Here is a 12,370-nt window from a genome sequence, read left to right as displayed (position 1 = left end):
CACTGTGTGATGTTGGCTGAATTCTTTTACTTCTTTGGCCCTCGGTATCCTCATCAGCATGATGCACACACCTTCCAGGGCTGTCATGAGGCTGAAAGCCATGGTGACATTGCGGGTATGATGCTCCTCTGTAGACAGGCTAGTGTTACACAGCCAGCTTCCCTTCTACCCTCCACAGCTCCTCCAGCCAAGCTGCCTGTAGTCTTTGCAACTGACCAGCAGTAGGGCCCCAGTAAGAGTCTGCCCTGAGTTACTTAATGTTGGGTACTGGAGGATTGCACCATGGCCGCAGCCACAGCCCCAGCCTGCAGGCAGACTGTAATTTGCAGCTGTGTCACAATTTCAGCTAAATGATTTTCAATTCATAGGTGGAGCCACCCAGCTACACACAGGATGAAATTCCTGCTTGGCCACACTCTGCGCCTCAGACCGCAGTGAAGACGAAGCATGCAGATATGGGCTTTTAAAAGAAGCCAATTGATCACTTGCCTTTTCTCTCCCTCTAATTAAGGGATTTAGGGTTGCTGAAGATTTCACAACATGTGTAGAGACAGAGAATCTTCTGAGAAATCATCCAGCCCTTTCCAGCACGACACATGTCTCTTGACAACTCCTAAGATGGGGGATTTTTTTTTTTTTTTGAGATGGGAGTTTCACTCTTCTTGACCAGGCTGGAGTGCAATGGCACAGTCTCAGCTCACTGCAACCTTCGCCTCCTGGGTTCAAGCGATTCTTCTGCCTCAGCCTCCCATCTAGCTGAGATTATATGCACCTGCCACCACGCCTGGCTAATTTTTGTATTTTTAGTAGAGATGGGGTTTCACCATGTTGGCCAGGCTGGTCTCAAACTCCTGACCTCAGGTGATCCACCCGCCTTGGCCTCCCAAAGTGCTGGGATTACAGATGTAAGCCACTGTGCCTGGATGGATTTTACACTTCTCAAAGCAGCCAATACTTGTACTTGAGAAGCTCTGGCTATAACATTAATTTCTAGGATGGTTCTGTTTAAGGCCTATCTTCCCCCCATTTCATATGAGCTCCAGGAGGGCAGGGATTTTGTCTGTACCAGTCACTGTTCCCTCCCAGTGTTTTGCAGGTGGGCTCTCACAAAACTCAGGTTTGGCCAGGTGCAGGGGCTCACCCCTGTCATCCCAACACTTTGGGAGGCTGAGGTGAGAGCATCATTTGAGGCCAGGAATTCGAGACTAGCCTGGGCACCATAGTAAGACCTCATCTTTACAAAAAACAAACACATAAATGAATAAAAAAACTTGGGTTAAAGTGCACTAAAAGGACCAGAAAAGTCTTCCTTATTTGAACTGAACATTTATTTCCCTAGAGCTTTCACCCACTGACCTTCACTGCTCCCCTAGACACTCACAGAGACCACATAAAACAAAGCTGTCTTTTCCTTGGTCCAACAATGATTGTGTTCTCCCCCAAGTCTGGCAAATACTCTTTCCCTCCCAAAAGTTTTCACTTTTCTAGGTCAAACGTTCAGTTTCTTCAGCCATTCCTGGTGAGTCAAGTTTTGGAAGCCACCATGTTGTCCTCAACTATCTGTTGCCCTGTGGATTGTGCCATGTCCTTCCTCTGGGAAGGGAGCTTCAGTGGCTCCTCATGGCCTAATAGAGCCCCAATTCCTTAGTTTGGGTGTTGAGACCTTTCAGAATATGTTCAATCTTAATTCCATTATTTTATATTACTTTTTTTTTTTTTTGAGACAGTGTCTCGCTCTGTCGCCCACGCTGGAGTGCAGTGGCGTGATCTTGGCTCACTGCAAGCTCCGCCTCCCAGGTTCAAGAGATTCTCCTGCCTCAGCCTCCCGATTAGCTGAGATTACAGGTGCCCACCACCATGCCCGGCTAATTTTTGTATTTTTAGTAGAGACAGGGTTTCACCATGTTGCTCAGGCTTGTCTCGAACTCCTGACCTCAGGTGATCCACCTGCCTCAGCCTCCCAAAGTGCTGGGATTACAGGCAGAAGCCATCACACCCAGCCATTTTCTACTACTCTTACATGAACTCCCCTGCTCAGTGATACATGTCTAATTCTTTCTCCTGGAGCCCAACATGATGCTCCCTCACTGTACACCTGTTTGTAAAGTGTTCCTGCCTGGGACAGCCACCCTATTCCTTATGTATGCAGGTCTCATTGTCACCAAGTCCCAAAGCAAAGCTCCATTCCTCTTGAGCATCCCAGTGTGTTGTTGTGGAAAGAGGAGTTGTAGCAAAACAAGCAAACCCAGGTTTAAGTCTCAGGGACACAGTCTAGCTGTATGAACCACCTCACTGGGCCAGTCACTCAACCTTTCTGAGCCTAAGTTTTCTCCTCTGAAAAATGGGCATGATGATACCTGTCCTGCCCACCCTGTAGAGTGTCGTGTGGAATCATGAGATGACACAGGTAAAAGCCCCTTGTAAAAGACAAAATGCATTGACTTCTTACCTCCGAGCCTTTCAAACATGCCTGTGCCACCTGTCAGATGCCTAACTCTATTAGTGCCATTCCTAGGAACACCCTCAGAGTACAAGGTGCTCCGGGAGGTGAATACACGTGTCCATGTGGTGGGCCACCATTCCTGAAGCCATGCTCTGTGCTGAGAGCTCCACATTGGTCAATGTGAAGCCGCCCTAGGGTATAGGTATTAGCATTCCATTTTCTACATAAGAAACCAGAGGCTTAGAGAGGCTAATAAACTTGTAACACAGCCTACAAGTGGCCACAACAGGATCTGAACCCAGTTCTTTCTGACAGCAGAGGCCCTGGTCTTAACTACTATGCCTCACTATCTCTAATGAATCCTTCAATTCAGTGAAACCTGTGCCTCTGGGAGGCTCACAATTGGGTTTTTTGTTTAGGAGACTGTTGTTACGGATCCTGGTGATGATGATATTCATAATTCAGGGCTGAACAGGGAGGCAGGGCCCCTTGGGGACTCATATCAAAGCCTCAACTTTAATGTGTTTATGCCCAAATTTTCCATTTAGGCCCAAACAAATAAAACAAAATAAAACCCTGAAGGAAGAATAGACGTCTACAAGTCCCTTATAAATCACGGCAGTGCTCGTTTCGTAGAATGCCTGCTAGTATGAGGCACTGTGTACGTTAACAGACCCCGAGTCCTTGACAGACAAGAAGAAAGAGAGCTTAAAAGACAAACTGATAAGAATTCAGAGGAGAGATTGATGGTGATTATGGAGATAAGAAAGGGCTGTTTATTGAGGGGGAGGCATTTTAGGGAAATACTCAAGGAAAAGATCATAGAGAGAGGCATCCCAGGCAGGAGGGAGAGTGAGGGAGGAGCGGATGGAGCCCTTCCTGGGGAAAGGCTGCCAATGAGTTTATCTGGAGTACTCGGTGCCTGGGGACAGCGGGAAAAAGCTGCATACGTCTGGCTCCAGCTTTAAGCGCGCAGGGGACACTCAATCCTCAGGAACCAGGAAGGTATAGCTGTGTGCAGCCCTGGCTCAACACCTAAGGCCTCTGGTTGGAAGGATTGGGTTAACTGCCAAGTTGTCACGAGGCCATTTGTGACCACGCAGCCGAAAAACCAAACAGAGAGAAGAAAAGCCACAGCCTATTGTCTGTGGTCTCTGAGGCCACAACCTGGAGGGCCAAGTTGTGGCTTGCATAAAAGCACATCAGAGGGCCGGGTGCGGAGGCTCACGCCTGTATTCCCAGCACTTTGGGAGGCTGAGGGGCATGGATCACTTGAGGCCAAGAGTTCAAGACCGGCCTGGCCAATGCGGTGAAACCCCGTCTCTACTTAAAGTACAAAAATTAGTCGTGCATGGTGGCGCATGCCTGTAATCTCAGCTACTCGGGAGGCTGAGGCATGAGAATCGCTTGAACCCAGGAGATGGAGGTTGCAGTGAGCCGAGATCGCATCACTGCACTCCAGCCTGGGCGACAGAGCGAGACTCTGTGTCAAAAAAAAAAAAAAAAAAGAGAACAGCAATGACAATGGGCAGGTCACTGGGATTGTGTAAATTCTCAGAAAGGAAATGGACCAGAGAAGTCATCCAACCCAACCTCTTCATTTGACTAATGAGGAAACCCAGGTCTACAAATAAAAAATTTGCCCAAGTTCACAGAATAACTGACCCGGATCCCAGAGCCGGAAGAGAGTGTAGGAGTCATTTTGTCCAACTTCCTCCTTTTACCCATGAAAACACTAATGTCCAAATCATCTGGAATGAGAATGCAGGCTTTCCAGCTCTCTGTGTATGGTTCTTTCTGCTATGTCATTTTAGTCACTTCCTTTCTTTCATTTGAGAAACACATCTTAGAAAGTCCTATGGGGCCAGGTATGCAAGGTTAGGGAAATATTTTTCAACATGATCAATAACAGCAAATGTTGTTGTTAACATAGTTAAGCATTTGTACAATAAGTACAAAGCTTGCTTTATACTCACCGTTTTATCTGATCTTTACAAGGCTCCCAGGAAGCAGATATGAATATACCTGCCATTTTACAGGGAGAAAGTATATGCCCAGATAGGTTGTCAGCTCTTTAAAGACAATGTATTATTTTATTAATACTTGTTTGGAAAAAGAAAAAGAAAGCTTACTTTTCCTTCTTGTTATGTCATTTATGCATATTCATTATAGATACTAGAAAATAGAGCAAAACAAAATCATAGCATACAAACCATTTGTATTTTGTTGTACGGCATGCTAGGGGTTTCAAGTTCTTAGACTCAAATTTAAACTTTTGGATTCCAAATTTCATGTTCCTTCTCCTTCACCTCATGTTAGACACTAACAATTATAAATTTTAGTGGGGGGAAATGATTAAACCACATGTCTGCTGCATGCTTTACAGCAACTTGTACATATCGTACTTGGCTTTGTTTTTGCCATCAGAAATAGTATAAGCCGCTTGAGTATAAACGCAATTTATGAAGAAATCGAAAGGTTTGGGAAAGGGTGAAGGGCTACCCAGGGGAGTGTGGTGAATGAATGGGGAAGGCAGAGCTGGGAGTCTGATGGCCTCAGGATCCCTCTCTAACCCACGCCCTGCGGCTCACCCACTGGTAGATTCAGAACAAGGTGCTTCCTGTGCGAGCCATTTTCTCAGTTTACTAAAGTGACAAGAGAACTGAAGGCTGAGCATGGTAGCTGGCTGGGCGTGGTGGGTCACGCCTCTAATCCCAGCACTTTGGGAGGCCGAGGCGGGAAGATCACAAGGTCAGGAGATGGAGACCATCCTGGCTAACACGGTGAAACCCCATCTTTACTAAAAATACAAAAAAAAAAAAAAAAAATTAGCTGGGCGTGGTGGCGGGCGCCTGTAGTCCCAGCTACTGGGGAGGCTGAGACAGGAGAATGGCTTGAACCCAGGAAGCAGAGCTTGCAGTGAGCGGAGATTGCACCACTGTACTCCAGCCTGGGTGAAAGGGCGAGACTCCATCTCAAAAACAAAAAACAAAAAGTAAAACAAAACATCAAAAAAGCAGTTGGTTTACCCAGGCCATACCTCTAGTGGCTCCTCTCCCAAGGTAACTGATGAGTAAACAGATTTTCCACTGATGTCTCAAAGAAAAAAAAGAGTAGAAGGAGAGGAAAACTATTTATTCTGGAGTCCATTCATCCTACTACTCTATGTTTATTATGTCGTTATAGGCTAAAGCTCTCTTTAGACATTTGGGGAAATTTAAAACAACACATTTTATGGAAAGCAATTTGTATTAAATCCTGAAAAGTGTAAATTTACCAATGCATATACTAGGATGATCCATAACATTGGTTAAAGAAGTATTTTAGAAAAATGTAAGCAATCAATAATAAAAAATTTATTAAAGTGTGACAGATCCACACATAATCTATGCAGATACTTTAAAAATATATAGATATCTTAATTATTTGACACTGAAAGATGTTCACAATATCTTTGTACAAGAAATTGCATGTATAAATGAAGATATTTAAATAAATATGTATTGATGTGATACACACACACACCTGCTCCACAGGAAAAAGTATCTAGTTCATATTTATTAGAATATGAACAGTGGTCTATGTGGTGTGATTAAGACATAATTTTTATTTGATTCTGTATGCAATTCTACATTTCTTCTCTTTTTTTATGATGGGGACATGTTTTTATAATCAGAGAAAAAACATATTTCCCTTTTAAAAACATGATACTAACACAGAAAAACATTAATAATATGTTGTAATATAAAAAGTAGATTTAAAAAGTTTATTTGTAGTATGATCCAGTTTTGATATATCTTTATGGCAAATGTAGGAATTTTAAAAGCATAGAATGTTGTGCAACAAAATACAAATGGTTTGTATTCCTTGATTTTGTTTTGCTGTATTTTCTAGTGGTTTATAATAAATATGCATAAGTTATGTAACAAGAAAGAAAAGTAAGTTTTCTCTTTCTTTTTCTAAACAACTATTAATAAAACCAGATTTGTGCCAAAAATAAAGATATAAAATAAGATAAATATGGTCTTGCCTTTAAAGAGTTGACAACCGAAAAGAAGAGATGAAAGCAAAATGTATGTGACTAAAATATGCAAGAAGGCTCAGTAGGTTTACCTATTGAATTGATAAAAGATTCATGAAAGAGACGACATTTGGGACAGGCCTTAAAAGATAGATATGAATAAACAAAAATTGGAGGAGTCCAGGTGCAGTGGCTCATGCCTATAATCCCAACACTTTGGGAGGCGAAGGTGGGAGGATTGCTTGAGGCCAGGAGTTCGAGACAGCCTGAGCAACATAGCAAGACCCTGTCTCTGCAAAAAGACAGGTGAGTGTGAGTGGTGGCTCATACCTGTAATCCTGGCACTTTGGGAGGCCAAGGTGCATGGATCACTTGACGTCAGGAGTTCAAGACCAACCTGGCCAACATGGTGAAACCCCATCTCTACTGAAAATACAAAAATCAGCCGGGTGTGGTGGCACACACCTGTAATTTCAGCTACTCAAGAGGCTGAGGCAAGAGAAATGCTTGAACCCGGGAGGTGGAGGTTGCAGTGAGCTGAGGCCATGCCACTACACTTCAGCCTGGGCTGTGACAGAGTGAGACTCCTTTAAAAAAAAAAAAAAAAAATTAGCCATGCCTGGTCGCATAAGCCTGTGGTCTCAGCTTCTCGGGAGGCTGAGGGAGGAAGATTGCTTGAGTCCAGGAGTTCAAAGCTGCACTAAGCTATGATAGTGATACTGCACTCCAGCCTAGGCGATAGAGCGAGACCTCATCTCTAAAAAAGAAATTGGAGGGAAAGGGATTTGTATCAGAGAAAAGGCATTCCTGCAGCAATGTGAGTATGTCCAGGGAGCAGCATACACAAAGGGCTTGGTGACATATCGCCACCTCCCTGATTCACTTCCTGCCGCACCTACCTACTGTCATGCTTACTACCAAGCTCTTCCATATCTTTTCAAATAAGGCAGCTATGAAAAAGTGCAAAGTATGCATTTTCCATTCTGATTTTATCTTATTACATACTGAATTAGGTAAATAAAAATGGATTCAGCACTAGAGGACTTTAGTGAATTATTTAATAGTTTGAGAATGTATTGGCTGTTGGCTGGATTTAATTAGAAATTTTGGTCTTCACCAGATGGATCCAACACTAAAGGCTCTTTAAGTCTCAAGGACAAAGTTGGAATTTCCCATGCAGTAAATTTAGATCTTCGTTTCATGCATCCATAAAGACAGCTATAAATTTCAGAGGCCCAAGGCTTGTCCCAGCATAACATGGGCCTTCACAACAAGTAAATAAATAACTTGAAACTGGAAGGGTGACTTCAAATGATGCTACCACCCTCTCTACTGGAAGACAGTGTGGACAACAACAGGAAGTGGAGGATGTCTGGGAAACGTCTCTGGTCACCTCTTTGGAAAGCAAAAGTCTGGAAAGTCCAAACAAGGTTTGCTCTTAGAGATATGGCAATATTTATAGGACTTGTACACAGGAAACATGAAAGGAAATGGAATTATTCCTTTATGTTCCTTACAATATGAGACCAGATAAGTTCCTAGCCACTCTCTACTTTCAACAGGCCCCAAACACTTGGTCTCTCCTGACCTTCTACACTGTAGCAAAGTGGCTGGGAGGACTTCCTCTGGCTCAGAGTCTCTGTCCTGAATGTTTACATCTTGGTAAAACTGTGGCAGCAAGTTAGATACCTGAGAACTTAGAGTCTAGCTAGACTAGATTCTTGGGTCTGTCACTAACTCATTTGGAGACCTTGGGAAATGGTTTGGCCTAAGTCAGTAGGTCTCAGCCTTTGCTTCAACCTTCACATTATCTCATGTTCTATATGTGCTCACCAGAAACACCTCTCAGGCCAGGTGCTGTGGCTCATGCCTGTAATCCTAATGCTTTGGGAGGCCTAGGTGGGAGCATCACTTGAGCCCAGGAGTTTGAGGCTGCAGTGAGCTATGATCATGCCACTGTACTCCAGCTTGGGCAACAGAATGAGACCCTGTCTCTAAAACAAAACAAAACAAAAACATCTTTCATTAGACATAGATTGTCAATGAGTGTGGCCACCTCCACGCATTTTCTGATTCTCACTGAGATCTCTGAACAAGATGATCTTAGTGTGTTTCACGCATCCCCCTCCTTGCACTTTTAAGTCTTAGGATTCTAGATATAAATTCTCATCAAAAGAGCTTTGAAAAAAACAGGCTCCTACACAATTATGCTTGCATATACTTAGAAAGAAAGATTTAAAAGAAGATGTTAACAGTTGTTTTCTCTGGGAAAGGAACCTAGGGGCCTAATTGTTAAGGAAAAAAAGAGACTGACTCTTCACCGTATACCCTTTATTTTATTTTATTTTATTTTATTTTATTTTATTTTATTTTATTTATTTTATTTTATTTTATTTTATTTTATTTTATTTTATTTTATTTTATTTTATTTTATTTTATTTTTATTTATTTATTTTTTTTGGGAGAGGGCCTGGCTCTGTCACACAGGTTGGAGTGCAGTGGTATGATCTCAGCTCACTGGAATCTGCACCTCCTGGGCTTAAGCAATCCTCCCACCTCAGGCTCCCAAGTAGCTGGGACTACAAGTGCATGACATCATGCCTGGCTAACCTAGTAGAGAAAAATAAAATAAAATTAAAAAATATTTTTAAAAAGAAAAAACAAAAAGGGAACCTCTGGAAGAAGAGTATGGCTGAAGTGGACCTACAGGCTAAGTAGGTAGACAACTAAGAAGGTCTGTTTCCTCCCTTATTCCCTCCCTTCCTTTTCTAAACCTCTTTACTTTCTTGGAAATGACCTTCAGTGCCTGCCACGAACCAGCCACCATGATTGAGTGGGTATTAATTCAGTTTCCTGTACTTTAGTCATTCACACAGCACCTTCTTGAGTTTTGCCACATCTGCCCACCAGCTACATCATAATTAACTTAAAGTTTTTCTTTAAATTAACTCCCTTTCCCTTTTTTCTTTAACTTACCAGCTGGGCGCGGTAGCTCACACCTGTAATCCTAGCACTTTGGGAGGTTGAGGCGGGTGGATCACCTGGGGTCAGGAGTTCGAGACTAGCTGGGCCAACATGGCAAAACCCCATCTTTACTAAAAATACAAAAATTAGCTAGGCGAGGTGGTGCGTGCCTATAATCCCAGCTACTTGGGAGGCTGAGGCAGGAGAATCGCTTGAATCCAGGGAATGGAGGTTGCAATGAGCCAAGATTGCCCCACTTTACTCCAGCCTGGGTGAAAGAGCGAAACTCTGTCTCAAAATAAATAAATACATTAATTAATTAACTTACCTAACTACTTTAGTCTTGCACTAATCAATAACATTCATAAAATGATTTGGTTTGTCAATTATTTTTCTAATGCCTATGAAACTAAACATTGACTATTAGAATTTAAAATGTCTGCCCCCGTGTCTGGGTTACACGTGCCACACTCTGGAATTCACTAGCAATAACTCATTCGGTCCCTGCAACTACTCTCTGAGTAGAAATTATCTTCCTCATCCTACACATGAGAAAACTAAGCTTCAGAGGGGTTAAGTAACTTGCCCAAGGAGACAAAACTAGCAAAGGCAGAGTAAGACTTAAAACCACTCTTGTCTCCAAGGCCTGCATTCTTTCTTTTTATTTTCTTTTTAATTTTTTTTTAGACAGAGTCTCACTCTGGTGCGCAGGATAGATTGCAGAGGTGCGATCTCGGCTCACTGCAACCTCTGCCTCCCAGGTTCAAGTGATTCTCCTGCCTCAGCCTCCGGAGTAGCTGGGATTACTGGCGCCCGCCACCACCCCAGCTAATTTTTTTGTATTTTTAGTAGAGACAGGGTTTCACCATGTTGGCCAGGCTGGTCTCGAACTCCTGGCCTCAAGTGATATACTCACCTCAGCTTCCCAAAGTGCTGGGACTACAGGCGTGAGCCACCACACCCCGCCCCTGCATTCTTTCTTCTAATATTGCCCTAAAGTGGAAGGAAGGGAAAAAAAAGAGTAATACAAAAATGAGACCCGTCCACAGAGGTTCAATGCATTTGATCCAGCCCACTGGTTCAGGCCCTGCAACAAGCCAAGCCCCAGCATCCATTCTTGCCTCCCTGGCAGATGTCTTGCTTCCTCCACCACAAACAAGTCCTGTGTGGTGCGAACTTGGAGACTGATTTGTGTTTGCCAACTGGTGGCTTTGCTCTGAGCGCAGATCCCCCCGCCATGGCTCTGCTGGTGCCAAGGCTCCTAGAAGCCTTTCTAAGCCTTGCCCTTTCAGGTTCCTAACCCTGCCTTCTCACTCCACCATCCGTCAGATCCCACCTTTGTGCTACCTTCCTGCCCAGGCAGACAGGCCAAGGCTTTGCCCTCATGTTGGGGCTTGCTATTTTAGGTAGTGGATTTATGAGAGAGGGCGTTCATTCTGTAAAGTTTGAAAGCATCCTTTTATCTTCTCTTGTTACTAACACCATCTAGTTGCCTAGCACAGAGAAGACACAGAGAAGACACATTCGCTTGGCAAAGGAGGGAAGGATTCTCTGCCACCTCCCCCTTGGCCCCTTCACCTTTGGTCCCCCTACCAAAGAGGAGGCTGGGGTGTGGTCCTTCCGTGAAACTGAGAGAGCACGATTAGGGCCATGTGAGGACCTGGACTCAGTCTGCCTCCCTGCTGCATTCTCTGCCTGCCAACAGTCCACTCTGAGTTTGGTGGTAGAGGTAAGGGGTGGAAGTAGAGCGTTAGACGTAATAGAGCAAAGGAACTAATACTTATTATGGGCCTACTGTTTGTCAAACACTGCTGTTGATCCTTCATATCTGTTACCTCATCTAATACTCTCAACAACCTACAACCATAACAAACAGGTATTATTAGGCTCATCTTACAGATTAGTAAATCCAACTCTGGAAATCTAAATCAATTACTTAAGGCCACACAGCTACTAAAAGGCAGAGCCAAGATTTAAGCCCAGTACTGATTCCAAAGTCCACACTGTTTTCACTATACCAGGCCACCTCCTCTATGGATGAAACATAGTTACAAGGGCACTTAGAAATTATTTAGTTCAAAGGCCAGGTGTGGTGGCTCATGCCTGTAATTCCAGCACTTTGGGAGGCCGAGGTGGGCGGATCACTTGAGGTCAGGAGTTTGAGACCAGCCTAGCCAACACAGTGAAACCGTGTCTCTACTAAAAATACAAAAATTAGCCGGGCATGGGGGCAGATGCCTGTAATCCCAGCTACTTGAGAGGCTGAGGCAGGATAATCTCTTGAACCTGGGAGGCAGAGGTTGCAATGAGCCGAGATGGTACCACTACACTCCAGCCTCAGTGGCAAAGCAAGATTCTGTCTCCAAAAAGAAAAAAGAAAGAAAGAAAGAAAGAAAGAAAGAAAGAAAGAAAGAAAGAAAGAAAGAAAGAAAGAAAGAAAGAAAGAAAGAAATTGTCTAGTTCAGTATTTCCCAAGTTGTATGCTTCGGAACACCAGTTCCTCAGATATAAGGAGAGGGAGGCCAGAGAATTTTGGAGAAACTTGGCCTAAATGAAATTAGATAGATGTCTTTACTGCAGGCCTTCTCAGAGCCTTTAATATTCAAATGCACATATGAATCTCCAAGAAGGAGTTACAGTGTGTCACATCACCCCAGTTACCCAGGGAGACTGTTTGTTTTGGCTGCAAAATATCCAAGAAACTAGTGTTTTACAGAACAGTTCGGAAAACACTTATCTGTCAGACTCCTTTATTTTACATATAAAAAGGGAGGCAGGAGACCCGCCCAAGTGATATGACAAGCTAAAGCACCATATTTCCAAACACACCACAACCTCACTCCTGTCCTGCTTTCCTGTCCCAGTAGAGAGACTCTGCTCATTTCATCAGTCATTAAAGAATGCAGTAAATACCTACCACGTGCCAGGTCTGGGGGTAAACA

The sequence above is a fragment of the Homo sapiens genome, chromosome 20 (genome assembly GCF_000001405.40).
Source record: "Homo sapiens chromosome 20, GRCh38.p14 Primary Assembly".
Classification (NCBI taxonomy): Eukaryota; Metazoa; Chordata; class Mammalia; order Primates; family Hominidae; genus Homo; species Homo sapiens.
Note: the sequence above shows the minus strand (reverse complement) of the source record.